The sequence below is a fragment of the Homo sapiens genome, chromosome X, assembly GCF_000001405.40.
Source record: "Homo sapiens chromosome X, GRCh38.p14 Primary Assembly".
In the NCBI taxonomy this organism is placed as follows: Eukaryota; Metazoa; Chordata; class Mammalia; order Primates; family Hominidae; genus Homo; species Homo sapiens.
Genome location: NC_000023.11, coordinates 119368569 through 119386320, shown reverse-complemented (window position 1 = coordinate 119386320; position 17752 = coordinate 119368569). Strand labels below are relative to the sequence as shown.

At 42.4% G+C, this 17752-nt stretch overlaps 1 pseudogene; it reads right to left on the bottom strand.

Annotated features, from left to right (window-relative positions):
* On the bottom strand, positions 5851-6674 carry MRPS17P9 (mitochondrial ribosomal protein S17 pseudogene 9; annotated as a pseudogene).

Below are 17752 nucleotides of genomic sequence, written 5' to 3'. Positions count from 1 at the left end.
GAGACCCCTGATCTACCCCACCAAATCTGTCCCTCCCTTGCCTTCCCCATCGTGGCAAATGGAAACTTTTTTTTTTTTTTTTGAGACATAGTCTTACTCTGTCACCCAGGCTGGAGTGCAGTGTTGTGATCCTGGCTCACTGCAAACTCTGCTCCCGGGCTCAAGCAATTCTTGTGCCTCAGCCTCCCTAGTAGCTGGGACTGCAGGTGCACAGCACCACACCTGACTAATTTTTGTATTAGTAGAGACAGGGTTTCACCATGTTGGCCAGGCTGGTCTCGAACTCCTGATCTCGTGATCCTTCCACTTCGGCCCAAAGTGCTGGGATTACAGGCGTGAGCCACCACATACGGCCAATTGATCCTTTTAGCATGAAAGTCAGATGGTGTCACTTCACTGTTTGGAACCCTCCAATGACTCTACATCTCAAAAATCCAAAATCCTAATACTGCTCTGCAAGGCCCTACACAATCTTTCCCTCATCCCCCCACTGCCCCCACATTATCTCTCTGACTCCTCGCCACTACTCTCTCCTGTGTTCACTCTACTTCAGTCACACTGGCCTTTCTGCTGATCCATAAACAAACCAGGCACTCCCCACCTCAGGCCTCTGCGCTTGGTGTCTCTTCTGCCTGGAATGCTTTTCCATAGCCATCTGAATGGTTGCTTCTTCACCTCCTTCAGAGATTTGCTCAAATGTCTTCTTCCCAGTGAGGCCTGAATACTCTGTTTAAAATTGTAACCCCCACCTTGGTACATTCTGTCCCCCTTCCCTGCTTTCTTGTTTTCTATAGAATTTACCACTATCCATCTGACACACTATATATTTTTCTTAAAAAAACCTCTCTCTCTCTCTCTTTTTTTTTTTTTTTTTGACAGAGTCCTGCTCTGTTGCCCAGGCTGGAGTGCAGTGGCTCGATCTTGGCTCACTGCAACCTCTGCCTCCTGGGTTCAAGCAATTCTCCTGCCTCAGCTTCCTGAGTAGCTGGGATTACAGGCATGCACCACCACATGTGGCTAATTTTTTGTATTTTTAGTAGAGATGGGGTTTCACCATGTTGGCCAGACTGGTCTCAAACTCCTAACCTCAAGTGATCCGCCCACCTCAGCCTCCCAAAGTGCTGGGATTACAGGTGTGAGCCACCACTCTGGGCCAAAATCTGTCTCTCTTTAGCCTACTAAGATGTAAGCTCTGTGAGGGCAGAGGTTTTATCTGTTTGGTATACTTCTATATTTTTGGCATTTAAAACTGTAGCCTACTAGGCACTCAATAAATATTTGTTAAATATATGAATGAATGAATGATTCTACTCATAAGTTACAGATATATATGAACCAAAATGTCAGTTTATTAATTGACAGTGAGAACTATAACTGTTAAGCAGACCTGAATACTCACATAGGATATTCAGGGAACCCTCTTCCCTTTAGGGAAGTCTTAATGGGCTATCACACTGCAATAAGAAGTTAGTATAAAACACAGCCTTAGAGCAAAGGGAAATATTAAAATACTCTTCATAGGTCGTTCTATTTTATTTTCTTTTTTTAAATGAACCTGACATTGTGAGCATAACTTCACAGGTAATTCTGCCAATCCATCTTCACTTTAGGAATTCCTTCCAAGTGGAATTGTAATATTCATAGAAGCTGCTCTGGGATCACTCCTGCACAGGGCTCTTTGGCTTTCTTTTATCCAGTTTCTTTTTTTCTTGAGATGGAGTTTTGCTCTTGTTGCCCAGGCTGGAGTGTACTGGTGGGATCTTGGCTCACTGCAACCTCTGCCTCCTGGGTTCAAGCGATTCTCCTGTCTCAGCCTCCCGAGTAGCTGGGATTACAGGGACCCGCCACCATGCCCAGCTAATTTTTGTATTTTTCATAGAGACAGGGTTTTACCATGTTGGCCAGACTAGTCTCGAACTCCTGACCTCAGGTGATCTGTCCGCCTCGGCCTCCCAAAGTAGTGGGATTACAGGCGTGAGCCACCATGCCCGGCTCTTTTATCCAGTTTCTATGTAGCAGAAACACAGATAAATTTTAAGTTTTGCACTTGAGCAAATGGGTGGATGGTGATGTAATTAATTGAGATAGAGAAGAAATTTAAGCTTATTGATGACTTTATGTGAATAACTTAGACTGAAGGTGATGTGTCAGGATAAACTATAAAGAGTGTGAAAGCTTAGGTAAATCCAACGTTAGAGCTTGTTTCATGTTTTCAAGCTGTTATATCAAAAGCAAAGTCTATTATGCCAGAGACTATCCACCAATATCCACATGCTCCCTTACATTTCCAAGCTTTCTTTTTGCCTAAATGGGACCATGTGGTTTTGTTTTGGCAAGGGAACATGTGTAGGATTGATAACTGCCACTTCTAGGCCTAAACCATGTAATACCCTTCATGATTTTTCATGCTATTAATAAATCTCTTTGCTCTTGTACAGCAGGAAGCAAAGGACTCTGAAATGGTGGAACACGATGCAAGGAACCTGTATCCTTGGGTTTACCCCTCAGAGGAAAACCACCCTGGAGAGTTGCTCATACAGGAACCATCTCATAGGACTTTGTGTGAGTGAAAAATCAACCTTTGGTTAAGCCACTGAAATTTCAGGGTTTCTTCGTTACCACAGCAGATTCTAGTCTACCTGACTGTCTCAGTCTGTTTGTGTCGGTATGCAGAAATATCTGGCTGGGCGCAGTGGCTCATGTCTGTAATCCCAGAACTTTGGGAGGCCAAGGCAGGCAGATCACTTGAGGCCAGGAGTTCGAGACCAGCCTGGCCAGCATAGTGAAACTTCATCTCTACTAAAAATACAAAAAATTAGCAAGGTATGGTGGTGTGTGCCTGTAGTCCCAGCTACTTGGGAGTCTGAGGCACGAGAATCGCCTGAGCCCAGGAGGCAGAGGTTGCAGTGAGCCAAGATCGTGCCACTGCACTCCAGCCTGGGTGACAGAGCCAGACTCTGTCTCAAAAACAAAAACAAAAACAAAAACAAACAAACAAAAAGACCAGCCTGGCCAATGTGGCAAAACCCCATCTCTACTAAAAATACAAAAAATTGGCTGGATGTGGTAGTGCACACCTGTAGTTTCAGCTACTCGGGAGACTGAGGCACAAGAATTGCTTGAGTCTGGGAGGCAGTGGTTGCAGTGAGTTGAGATTGTGCCACTGCACTCCAGCCTGGGTCACAGAGTGAGACGCTGTCTAAAAAAAAAAAAAAAGAAAGAAAGAAAAAGAAATATCTGAGCTAATAAAGAAAAGAGGTTTGTTTGGCTCATGGTTCCACGGGCTGGAATGTTGGGCATCTTGGTAAAAGCCTCAGGGTGCTTCCACTCATGGTAGAAGGCAAAGGGGAGCCAGTGTATGCAGAGATCACATGGCAAGAGAGGAAGCAAGGGAGAGAAGGGGGAGGTACTAGGCTCTTTTTAACAACCAGCTCTCATGAGAAGTAATAGAGTGAGAACTCACTCACCACTTCCCTCCCTAGGGCATTAATCTATTCATGAGAGATTTGCCCCATTACCCAAACATCTCCTAATAGGCCCCATCTCCAACACTGGGGATCAAATTTCCACATGAGTTTTGGGGGAACAAACATCCAAACAATAGCACTAACTAACACAGCTACACACTGTTGACCACAAGAAAGCCCTCTCTACCTGAGCTACACATGAAGGTTATGAGAAGCACTTAATGCTTGCCAGTTATGTTAAAGTTTTTTTTTTCCAGCTTTGTTATGAGGTTAGGGTAATGACCATAAATAACTACTTTTGCTCAAGGAAGTCACTGACTTCCCTAAGGAAAATTCATCACTTGACTGAGTTTCAAGAAAAATCTTGTATCTTTCTGGAACAAAAACCCTTAATCTGAATGATCATAAGCATGATTAAGATTAACTTTACGCAGCCCAAATGTATGCTTGTATGACAAGCTTCATCAGTGTTCTATCCTTCCAGATAAACCGAATGCAGTGATTGTAAAAACTGTAGCTACAGCACACATGCCTTTTTTTTTTTTTTTTTGAGACTGAGTGTCACACTCTGTCCCCCAGGCTGGAGTGCAGTGGCACGATCTCGGCTCACTGCAACCTCTGCCTCCCGGGTTCATGCCATTCTCCTGCCTCAGCCTTCCGAGTAGCTGGGACTACAGGCGCGTGCCACCACACCCGGCTAATTTTTTGTGTTTTTAGTAGAGACGGGATTTCACCATGTTAGCCAGGATGGTCTCGATCTCCTGACCTCGTGATCTGCCTGCCTCGGCCTCCCAAAGTGCTGGGATTACAGGTGTGAGCCACTGCAACTGGCAGCACACATGCCTTGATGGAGATTGTGAGGCTGTGGTATTAAATGGTTTTCATTATCTGATTTTCCTAGTTATGAATTAAACTGAAGAACTTGCTGAAAACATTTTGATCATAATGAAGAGACTCTTGAAATGCTTGATTAAGTGTATTCTGAAGAATTTCCCCAAAGTGGATGGCAGTGGTGTGTGGCTAATTGTGTCTATTTGGGTCCTCTAGGAAGCAGATGCTAATACGGAGTTAGGAATGCAGGATGTTGATTGTGGCTAATACCTGTGAAAGATAAAAGGGCAGAGAGCAAGATTGGGCAGGAAAGGCATTCAAACTACAATGCATATCTGACACATGTGAAAGGATAAGGGGTGGAAACAGAATTTGGCAGAGTTGCCTTAGACTTTGAGGCAAATATGACAAAGTCTTGGTCTCAACCCAGTGGGGAGTTCTGGAGGAAAGACTGCCTCTTAAAAGAGTCTCACATTGGGCAGAAGTGGCCAGGCCCTAGAACTGCCACCTTGCTTAGTTATTGACTGGAGGCTGCCCAGGGAAAGCATGGTTTTGTCAAGAATACTGCAGCCAGTCTTGGAAGGTCCTGCAACCTGAGGCTGTAAGCTAACTTCACTCCTCATAGTTCCATGGCAAAGTCTTTCTTGATGGGAGCTCTGAGCTATGCAGCTCCATGCTTGCCACAGTCCATCCTTTGTGTTGCTTGGATTAACTTCAGAGTTCTTGTTCAGAGTTCCTGTGAACCTCTCTTCCTGAGGGAAGACTTAGAAGAGGAGGTTAGTGGGAAGAGCAATAGCTCATCTTGCTGCAGTTGGTCTCAGGGCTGCCACTAGGTTTCATTTTCTTCCTTCTCCACAATCCATTCTATATTTGTACTGATTTTCTGCCTGCTTAATCTATCCATTGCTGACAGAGGGGTGTTGAAATCTCCAATGATAATAGTAGATGTGTCTAGTTATTCTTACAGTTCTATCAATTTTTGTCTCATTTATTTTGATGCTTTGTTGTTAGGGCATACACGTTTTAAGATTGTATTGTTTTCTTGAGACTTGACCCCCATAATGCCCCATTTTATTTTATTTCTTTTTCAGAATTGTAAAATTTTATTTTCTATATGTCAACATTCTTAATAATACAGCTTGATCAAAAAAAATTCTGACCATAAGCATGTTGATTATTTCCCTTTGGAACTGGTGAAGTCAGAAAAATAAAATATTTATTTTGAATATATAGCATCCAAAAGATTCACTTAATGTGGCCTTATTTGTTTATATTCAAAGGCTTTCTTCCCTCAAAATAAAGGTTCTAAGGTAAATTCAAGATTCTTTTGAATGAAAAAAAGAAAACTGGCTGGGCACAATGGGTCAGGCCTGTAATCCCAGCACTTTGGGAGGCCAATGTGAGCATTTCACTCCCAAGAGTTCAAGAACAGCCTGGGCAACATAGGGAGACCCTGTCTCTACAAAATTTACAAAAAATTAGCCAGGTGTAGTGGCACGCTCCTGTGCTCCCAGCTACTCAGAAGGCTGGGGTGGAAAGATTGCTGGAGCCAGGGAAGTCGAGGCTGCAGTGAGCCAAGATTGTACCACTGCACTCCAGCCTGGGCGACAAAGCGAGACCCTGTCTCAAAAAACGAAAACAAAACCTTCTAAAACAGTGAGCTTACAAAACGCAACAGACCGCTAGACACACTTAGTGTAACGTGAAAGTATGTTCACTGAAAAGAAAATTTGAAGCATGACCATAAACCTTTGTGAAAAACCATAATATGCCCTTTACTTCATTTGCTTTTAGCTATTTCATAAATACCACAAGAGAAATTGGACACAGTTTGTGATGAAACTTAGAAAAATTTCTTTTTCCATAAAATAAACAAACATGTAAATCTTTCCCTTTGGCTTCTTCTTCCATTCTTCCTTCACTGTGCTGAAGAGATATTGAGTTCTTTCAGATTTTTGCTTACCTGGGTGGTTTCCGAACTCAATGGACTCTCCAGATAGGTAGTTCCTGCACAAGGTTTTCCTGTCACAGGATCTACGAGTTTTCCAACTTTGAAAACAATCTCAGCCAGTTCATGTTTCACATGCTTTGTTCGTGGAACAGGTAAAGCTTTGAGAAGCACGATATCCCCAATTGTGCACTGCTGAAGGGCATTGTGAGCAAAGTACGTTTTTTGCTTATTATAATACTTTAATAAATGGGGATCCAGAACAAGCCTGATCACTCTCACTTTAGCAGTCTTTTGCATTTTTGTCCCAGTCACCTTCCCCATAATCCATTTGGCATGGACGGATAAACGAACTATGGACATTATGTGGCTATGGTCACCTCCGCCACTGCTTTGCAGCCATCTGACCTGTGGAGTGCCGGTCGCAGAATGATCCCCATTTTATTCTTGATGACATTCCTTGTTATGAAACCTGCTTTATCTGATAGAAATATAACTACCCCAACTTTCTTGTGTTCAGTGTTTTTTTGTTTTTTTGTTTGTTTGTTTTTTGTTTTTTTAGTATATCTGTGGCTATCTTTTTACTTTATTTTTAAGTTTTTTGTAGAGATGGGGTCTCACTATGTTGCCCAGGCTGGTCTCAAACTCCTGGGCTCAAGCAATCCTCCCGCCTCAGGCTCTCAAAGTGCTGGGATTACAGGTGTGAGCCACCATACCTTTGACTTTTAATATGTCTATGTCTTTATATTAAAAGTGGATTTCTTATAAACAGTGTGTAATTGGAGCTTATTTTCTTATCCACTATGACAATCTCTGTCTTTTAATTGGTGCATTTAGACCATTCACATTTAAAGTGACTTTGATATAGTCAGACTAATATCTACCATCTTTATAACTATTTTCTTTCGTATATTTATTTATTTAAATTGATACATATTAGATGTACATACTTTTGGGATACATGTGATAATTTGATGCATTTACATAATCGGATCAGGGTAATTAGAATATCCATCATCTTAAACATAAATCTTTTCTTTTAACTAGGAACATTTGAATTATTCTCCTCTAGCTATTTTGTTTTGTTTTGTTTTGCTTTTTTGAGACAGAGTCTTGCTCTGTCATCCAAGCTGGAGTGCAGTGGCACGATCTCAGCTCACTGCAACCTCTGCCTCCTGGGTTCAAGCAATTCTCCTGTCTCAGCCTCCCGAGTAGCTGGGACTACAGGCGCATGCCACCACGCCCAGCTAATTTTTGTATTTTTAGTAGAGATGGGGTTTCACCATATTGGTCAGGCTGGTCTTGAACTCCTGACCTCAGATGATCCACCTGCCTCGGCCTCCCAAAGTGCTGGGATTACAGGCGTGAGCCACCGCGCCCGGCCTCTTCTAGGTATTTTGGAATGTACAATTGATTCACGTTAACTTTAATCACTCTACTGATGATTGAAAACCAGGTCTTATTTCTTCTAAGTGTGTATTTGTGTCCATTTTTATAACTGTTTTCTATTTATTGCTCTTGTTCTTTGTTTTTTCCCTATTGTCTTTTTCTGCCTTCCCTGGTTTAAATTGAGCTTTTCATATGATTCCATTTTATCTCCTCTCCTAATGTATCAGTTGCAATGGTTGCCCTATACTTTATAATATACATTTTAATTAATTAATTTATTTTTGAGACCGGGTCTCACTTTGCCACCCAGGCTGGAGTGCAGTGGCTCAATCTCGGCTCACTGCAGCCTCGACCTTCTGGACTCAAGTGATCCTCCTACCTCAGCCCTGCAAGTAGCCGGGACTACAGATGCGTGCCATGCTGCCTGGCTAATTTTTGTATTTTTTTGTAGAGACAAGTTTTCACCATGTTGCCCAGGCTGGTCTCAAACCCCTGAGCTCAAGCTATCCTCCTGCCTCAGCTTCCCAAAGTGTCAGGATTACAGACATGAGCCACCACGCCCAGCCTATAACGTACATTTTTAACTAATGTAAGTCAACCTTCAACTAACACTATACTGCTTCATGAGTAGTGCAGGCATCTTATAACAGAGTATTTCTAATTTTTACTCCCCATGTCTCTGACCTCCAAAATGCTCTGGTGGCAGCTGTAGCGTATAGTTCAATGGGACTCCTGCTACGCCCCTGGCAAGAGTGTGCTCACCTCTTACACTGTAGAGCCCCAGGTTGTGGAGACTGAAAGCACAATGTCTTGCTACTAGTAGGTTATTGAGAATGATGGTTCTCCTGCTTTCACTCCTTGGTTCCTGCACCCATGTATTTTTCCTCTTGGCGAGATGGTGCCATATAGAGGTCTCTAATTTAGTGCTTACACTGCATCCTGGAGGATGCTACCACATCTTTGCAGAGTGTTGCTTCTGAGCTGGTGCTTCAGCTGCTCCTTGCCATTCCATCACTCTGTCAGGCCAGCTACTTATGAATGGTGTGGAATGTTGCATGCCTAGGGGATCCTATGGTCATAGGCACGCTCCCAAACTTCCTTTGCTATGAAATAAATTCCCTGTTTGGATGCTGTGCTGTGTTGGATTCCATGGTGTGGATCAGGCACTCCTTAAGCCCCTGGATGGTGGTGCTGGATGAGGTTCTGTGGGCAGGAAAGGCAAAACCATATTCAGAAAGAATGTCCATCCTGTGAGAATGAATTGCTGGCCCTTCCAGGATGGAAGAGGCCCCGTCATCCCCATTGCTAGTTATGAGCCCAGCTCTGTGATTGCCCCTCCTATCATCCACTCTGGCCTGCAGAGGAGAGCCACATTGAATTTACTGGTGATATGCTGGCATCCCTCTCTCCAGCACATTCCTTATGGACTGGGTGAACTGGATGTTCCCTGAGTCCTTCTGTACAAGAGAATCCTCCAGTGGGTCTTCTGGCCTCACATGACATACGCACTCCAGCGTGTCCACCTCCCTGAGCCTTCTCATTCCTTTCTTCACTATCTGCCAGGGCAATGTAGGCATTTCTACTGCACTTAGTGTCAGACAACATGTTTTTCATGCTTCTAGGATCTATCCTAGCATTGTGTTTGTGCTGTCTTCCAGGGCCCTTCCCCGGGTGTATACCAGGAGAGTACTCCTATATTGGTAAACTATCTTCTATCCAAATTTGTGTTCTGTCTCCTTGCTTATTACCTGGAATTCCTTGTTAGAGAAACTTTTTGGGTCTCTAGACATCAATTTCCAGTAGTCTCTAAATGTCTGTCCTTCGTGTAGAGTCATCTAAGTCTTAGGTCCTTTTGGGAGAAGGACTCAAACTATGGTTTATAATTGCCATGGTGATGTGTAGGGTTCTTCTTCCAGGGGACCTAGCCACCTCTTCAGTCAATGAGTCCTAAGTCTGATAACTCAGATCCAGGAACTAGGCAGGAGATCATGGCTTTTTATAGGAGTGTTGACCTTCAACCTCCTCCTCATCTATTGCCACTTAAAAATTATGTAATTAAACGATATTCTTGTTGGCAATCCACCTATTTTGCCTCTAGGGACAACATGCACTATTAATCCTCTTAACTCCTGGAGTGTCTTTGGCTGCTCCTCTGATTGCTAATCACTGTGGTCTAAGTGCAGCCTTCTGACTTCGGGCAGTTAAACACAGTCACTCGGCCCTTATAACTTTGGCTTCCATTAACAAGCCCAGCTCTGTGATTGCCTCTCCTGTAGTCCACCTTGGCCTGCAGAGGAGCAACACCATGGAACATCTTGGTGATGCTGGCACCCCTTTCACCAGGGCATTCCACATGGCGTTGGTAAATCGTGCATCTCCTGAGCCCTCCTGTGCAACATAATTCTCTGGCTGGTCTTCGGGCCTCAGGTTATATAACCACTCCAGCATATTCACCTTCCTGCGCTACTTAGTTCCTTTCATTACCATCTGTCCTGGCAATTTAGGCATTTCACCCTCACTCAATGTGAGTTATCACTTTCCCCAGGGTTCTAGGGGCCACCCTGACTGCCAGTTTACACCAACTCCTAGGGTCCTTGCCACAGTGCTAAGTCCTGTATTCCTGGACAGTGCCCCCAAATCAATAAACTCTCCCTTACCTAGTCTTATGTTCTGGCCCCATTGCTCAAACACTCTAAATCCAGTCCGTGGGACCTCTCTGACTCCTAGTATATGTTGGCTAGATCTTACAACTCCTTTGGGGTATAGATCTTTTCCTTTCTTACCAGGCCCAGCGCATCCCTGGCAGGCTTACACCCTGACTTAACCCTACTTACTGGTCTTATAGCCAGGAGAAAAGGTGGAGGCAGATCTTGGTGCCTTATAAGGGAAAGGCCTTTGTGCTGTCTTCCCACAAAGGATGGGGTGGATGCCAGCCCTTAATAGGGAGAGATGAGTTACTGCTGCAGGCTCTAAAGGTTCAGAGCAGTCTGAGGAGTCAAAATCTTTGGGAGCACCCACTTAGACATTCCCATGCTGTTTGCCACGATCCTGGGTTTGCCTAACTGGAGTGCTGACTTGAGTATCGTGGACCTGGCTTGGATGAGTATACAGTCACCTTTGAAGCTTGGTCATTCTGAGTTTGATCTCTAGGTTTTTCTGCTGTCTCACTGAACGAGATAAGAACATCTTTATGAGCTACCAAAGAGGTCCTCTGGCCTTCATGCTTAGTTTTCAATAGTTAACTGCCCTCAGCCACTTAATTGTCCCTTCATATGGTGTCTGTGCACCTTAATGACAGCCAGCCAAGTCCACAGTCCTTCTATGCAAAGTTATTCATCTCTACTCTTCATTGCACCTGCCAGAGCATTTTCTTTTTACCAGAACACTCTCCCAAGTTACTACCAGTGACAGTTTTAGCAGTTGGGCCACCATCTTGTACCAGGGACTATCCATGGTCCACATACTACTTGGGAAGAAGTCCTCATTTCATTTCATTAAGTGATCCAGTGCCAAAACCCCAATCATCTCCTGCTTTCTCAGACCAATCCTGGTACCAATTGTGTCAGTTCAGGTCCTCTGGGAAGCAGATACTGAGACAGAATTAGCAGTGTAAGAAGTTTATTGGGGTCTGCTTGTGAATTACAAAAGGGGAGGAAGCAAGATTGGGCAGGAAATGCCTCAGACCATGACACAGACTTGACACTTGCGGATAGAAAGGGGAAAGGCAGTATAGTTGGGAAGGGAGAGTCTCAGATGACAATGCAGATCTGACAATGCCAAATCTCTGAGTCAGGATGCCCCAGGACTCAGTCCTTGGCCCTTCTCCCTTCTCTAGCCCCACTTACTCCCTTGCTAATAATCCTTTCCAGTTCCAGGGCTATAAATACCACCTATACTGATGACTCCCAAATTTCTATCTCCAGCCCACGCCTTTCTCCTGAGCTCTAAGCTTATATATTGTTTCCCACTTGAAGATTTACTGATTCCCAACTTAACATGTCTAAAACTGAACTTTTGCTTCCTACCCTGACCCATTTCATTCTTCCTAGATTCTTCCACACCTCAGTCAATAGCTCCCACTATTCACTCAGTTTCCCAGTTAGTCATCTTTGACTTTTTTTCTCTCTCTTATTTCCCAAGCATATCAAGTTCTAATAGCCCTTCTGTTCTTTACCCATGCCAACATATTTCTACATCAAGACCCTTGCACATGCAGTTTCTTCTGCCTGAAATGAGCTTCCCTGTCTTCACATAGAGATCCTTCTCTTCCTTCAACTTTCCAGTTTAAATATTGTCTCTCCAGAGAGGACGTCTATGAATACTCTCTTATACTCTCTCCTAGCACCCTGTCTTTTCTTTTCTTTTCTTTTCTTTTCTTTCTTTCTTTCTTTCATTCTTTTTTTTTGAGATGGAGTTTCACTCTTGTCACCTAGGCTGGAGTGCAATGGCACTTTCTCGGTGCACTGCAACCTCCACCTCCCAGGTTCAAGTGATTCTCCTGCCTCAGCCTCCAGAGTAGCTGGGACCACAGGTGTGCACCACCACGCCCGGCTAATTTTTGTGTTTTTAGTAGAGACAAGATTTTACCATGTTGGCTAGCCTGGTCTTAAACTCCTGATCTCAGGTGATCCGCCCGCTTCGGCCTCCCAAACTGCTGGGATTACAGGTGTAAGCCACTGCACCCGGCCACACCCTGTATTTTCTTAATATCACTTAACAAGTTTGTGGCTATGTATTTATCTTTTTTTTGTTAATGTCTGTCTCCTTCATTAGCATGTAAGCTCCACCAGGGTAGGGGATTGTCTGTTTTGTTCCCTACTGTGCCATGTAGTGTGTTCAATGAATATTTGTTGAATGAATAAATGAATTAAATATATTTCCAACAATTTATTGTCTTCTGTCATTGAATTGAACCATTTTAAAAATTGTGTATTAGAGAAGTAAAGAAGTGCCCTTAAGGACATCTAGTCCAGTATTATGCTGGACAATGTCAATGCTTCATTAACTAATGCTGCATTCATTACCTAAGGCTGTTATAACATAGTGGCACAAACTGAGCACAGAAATGTATTGTCTCACAGATCTAGGGAACAGAAGTCTGAAATCAAGGGGTCAGCAAGGTTGGTTTCTTATGAAGGCTGAGAGAGAGAATCTTTTCTATGCCTCTTTCATTGCTTCTGGGGGTTTGCAGCCAATCTTTGGCATTCCTTGGCTTGTAGATGCATTGCTTCAATCTCTGCCTTCATCTTTCTTCACGTGGCTTTCTCCCCATGTCTCGGTCTCTGTCCGAACATTCCATTAAAAAAAAATTTATGGCCAGGTGCGGTGGCTCACGCCTGTAACCCCAGCACTTTGGGAGGCCAAGGCGGGTGGATCACCTGAGGTCAGGAGTTTGAGACCAGCCTGACCAATATGGTGAAACCCCATCTCTACTAAAAATACAAAAATTAGCTGGGCGTGGTGGCGTGTGTCTGTAGTCCCAGCTACTTGGGAGGCTGAGGCAGAAGAATCGCTTGAACCTGGGAGGCGGAGGTTGCAGTGAGCCGATATCATACCACTGCACTCCAGCCTGGGCAACAGAGCAAGACTCCATCTCAAAAAAAAAATTATTTTAAGTTCCGGTATACACGTGCAGGACGGACAGGTTTGTTACATAGGTAAATGTGTGCCATAGTGGTTTGCTGCACAGATCAACCCATTAGCTAGATATTAAGCCCCCCATGCATTAGCTATTTATCCTGATGCTCTCCCTCCCCCCAAGAAGATTCTGTATCCAGGGCCCTTGAGCCACTGCTCCGCCCACTCCCACACTGTGGAGTGTACTTTCGTTTTCAATGAATCTCTGCTTTCCTTGCTTCATTCTTTCCTTGCTTTATTTGTGTGTTTTGTCCAATTCTTTGTTCAAAATGCCAAGAACCTGGACACCCTCCACCCGTGACAGAACAGAATAGAGAACCCAGAAATAAAACTGCATACCTACAGCCATCTGATCTTTGACAAACCTGACAAAAACAAGCAATGAGGAAAGAATTCCCTATTCAATAAATACTGCTGGAATAACTGGCTAGCAATATGCAGAAGATTGAAACTAAACCGCTTCCTTATACCATATCATACAAAAATTAACTCAAGATGAACCAAAGACTTAAATGTAAAACCCAAAACTATAAAATCCCTGGAAGACAACCTAGGCAATACCACTCAGGACATAGGCACAGGGAAAGATTTCATGACAAAGACACCAAAAGCAATTGCAACACAAGCAAAAATTGACAAAGGAGAGCTAATTAAATGAAAGAACTTCTGCACAGCAAAAGAAACTATCAACAGAGTAAACAGACAACCTACAGAACGGGAGAACATTTTTGCAAACTATGCATCTGACAAAGGTCTAATATCCAGCATCTATAAGGAACTTAAACAAATTTACAAGAAAAAACTAAACGACCCTATTAAAAAGTGGGTAAAGGACATGAACAGACATTTTTCAAAAGAAGACATACGTATGAACAACAAGCATATGAAGAAAAGCTCAATATCACTGATCATTAGAGAAATGCAAACCAAAACCACAATGAGGTACCATCTCAAGCCAGTCTGTATGGCTATGATAAAAAGGAAAAAAAAAAAAGCAGACACTGGCAAGGTTGCAGAGAAAAGGGAACACTTGTACACTATTGGTGGGAGTGTAAATTAGTTCACCCATTGCAGAAAGCAGTATGGTGATTCCTGAAAGAGCTAAAAGTAGAACTACCATTCAACCCAGCAATCTCATTACTGGGTATATACCCAAAGGAATATAAATCAGTCTGTTATAAAGACACATGCACATGTATGTTCATTGCAGCACTATTCACAATAGCAAAGACATGGAATCAACCTAAATGCCCATCAATGATAGACTGGATAAAGAAAATGTGGTACATATACACCATGGAATACTATGCAGCTATAAAAAATAACAAGAGCATGTCCTTTGCAGGGACATGGATGGAGCTGGAGGCCATTATCCTTAGCAAACTAATGCAGGAACAGAAAACCAAATACTGCATGTCCTCACCTATAAGTGGGAGCTAAATGATGAGAACACATGGACACATAGAGGGGTCTTTCACACACTGGGGCCTTTCAGAGGGTGGAGGGTGGGAGGAGGGAGAGCATCAGGAAAAGTAACTAATGGGTACTAGGCTTAATACCTGGTGGTGAAATAATCTGTACAGCAAACCCTCATGACACACATTTACCTATGTAACAAGCCTACACATGTACCCCTGAACTTAAAATAAAAGATTTTAAAAATAGAATAAATAGGGTTACTATACACAAAAATACATTATTTTTTTTAAAAAGGCCATTTTCAAGAGCAACAAAAAATAAAGCATTTAAGAACAAACTTGTAAAGCTTCATTGAAAGACATTAAAGATCTGAATAAATCATGAGATAAGCCATAAAAAAATCACCTACTCATCAATAAATTCAGTGCCATCAATGAATAAAAAAAGAAAATGGGGCCGGGCGCAGTGGCTCATGCCTGTAATCCCAGCACTTTGGGAGGCTAAGGCGAGTGAATCACCTGAGGTCAGAAGTTCGAGACCAGCCTGGCCGACATAGCGAACCCTATCTCTACTAAAAATACAAAAATTAGCTGAGCATGGTGGCGCATGCCTGTAGTCCCAGCTCCTCAGAAGCCTGAGGCAGGAGAATCGCTTGCACCGGGAGGTGGAGGTTGCAGTGAGCTGAGATCGCGCCACTGCCCTCCAGCTTGGGTAACAGAGTGAGACTCCATCTAACAAAAAAAAAAACCAAACCATAAATGGGTGTAAAGTAAGTAACAGTAGATAGGACATTGAAATAAAAATAACTTTATGAACATCTTTATGCCATTAAATTTGAACACTTAAATGGATAATTTTATATAAAGCTAAAATTTACCAAAATTGACTCAAGAAAAAATGGGGAAAACTGAACAGACTTATGTTTGTGAACTAAATTGAAGCAGTGGTTAAAATCTATCAACCAACAAACAACCACCACCTACCTGCTAGATAGTTGGTTGTATAGGTGAATTCTATCAGATATACAAGGAACAGATAATCTCAATACTATATAAACTGTTGGATTAAATCTCCCCCAACTCGTTTTATAAGGCTAGCATAACCTCTATGCTAAACCAGGCAAAGATATTATGAGAAAGAAAAATTACATGCTAACTTCACTTGTGAACATACATGCCAAAATCTAAAACAAAATACTAGCAATCAGAATGAAAAATGCATTGAAAATACCTATGACCAAGGTGGGTTTATCTCAGTAATAAAAGAGTGATCTAACTTAAGAAAACTATTAATTTACGTCACCATAATGATACAAAGGAGCAAAACTAGCACTTCTATTCAACCTTGTACTGTAGGTCCCAATTAGTGTAGTAAGAAAAGGAAAATAAATAAAAAGTAAGGATCAAAAAAGGAGAAACAAAGCTTATTATTTGCAGATGACATGACTGTCCACATAGAAAATACAAAAGTATATGTAAAATATTGAAGCAAGGTTTTAGGATATAAGAGCAATATAAAAAAACAATAGTGTACCAATTAGAGCTTACAGTAGAAACAAAAACTGAAAGACACCCAGGAATAAATCTAACAAAAGATGTACAAGACCTATATGCAAAAAAGTATAAATCTTTATTGAATAACATTAAAGAAAATCTAAGTTAATAGATAAAATATGTTCATGTATAGGAAGACTTAATAATGTAATGATGCAAAGTCTCCCTAAATTCATTTAGAGATTGAATGCAATTCCAATTAAAATTCTAAATAGAACCAAGAATAAGCAAGACAATATTAAAGCAGTACAATATACCCTACCCGATGGCAGCACTTCTTATAAGCTGTAGTAATTAAGGCAGTACAGAGAAAAATAGACCAGTGGGACAGAATGCAAAGAGCCCAGAAACCACGTGTAAAGAAAATCTTAATACATGATCAGTGTGGAAATGATTTATTTAATAAATGTTGTTGGAACCACTGGTTATTATTTTGAAAAAAATAAAATCTCAACCCCACATTGTACACAAAAACAAACTCAAAGTGGTTTTATTTTATTTTATTATTTTTTTGAGATGGAGTCTCACTCTGTCCCCCAGGCTGGAGTGCAGTGGCGTGATCTCGGCTCACTGCAACCTCTGCCTCCTGGGTTTGAGCGATTCTCCTGCCTCAGCTTCCTGACTAGCTGGGACTACAGGCACGTGCCACCATACCCGGCTAATTTTTTGTATTTTTAGTAGAGATGGGGTTTCACTGTGTTAGTCAGGATGGTCTCGATCTCCTGACCTCATGATCCACCTGCCTCAGCCTCCCAAAGTGCTGGGATTACAGGCATGAGCCACCGCACCCGGCCCAAAGTGGTTTTATGACCTAAATGTGATAAGTAGTTACAAACTTTTAGAAGACAGCATGGGAAAATATCTTTTTTTTTTTTTTAGACAGAGTTTGGCTCTTTCACCCAGGCTGGAGTGAAGTGGCATGATCTTGGCTCACTGCAACCTCTGCCCCCTGTGTTCAAGCGATTCTCCTGCCTTAGCCTCCCAGGTAGCTGGGATTCTAGGCGCCTGCCACCACGCCTGGCTAATTTTTGTATTTTTGGTAGAGACGGGGTTTCGCCATGTTGGCCAGGCTGGTCTCGAACTCCTGACCTCAGGTGATCCACCCGCCTTGGCCTCCCAAAGTGTTAGGATTACAGGCATGAGCCACCGCGCCTGGTCAGGGCAAATATCTTTATGACCTTGTAGTAAGGAGGGATTTCATAAACAAAATACAGCTAGATAAGCCATAAATAAAGTAAAATCTGGCTAAATTATACTACATTAAAAATTTAAAACTTGCGTACAAAAAGACAAGTCATAAACAAAATGAAAAAACAAGCTTCAGTCTAGGAAAAGATAATTGCAACATGCTTGCTTTTATCCCAGACCCTTGGCAATTGATTTTTCTCTGCCTGGAAGAATACTCTTCATTCAAATATACATCTGACTCTCTTCTTCAATTAATGAATGTGTCTGTCCAAATGTCACCTCCTCAAAGAGGCCTTCTTTGACCACCGTATTGAAAATAA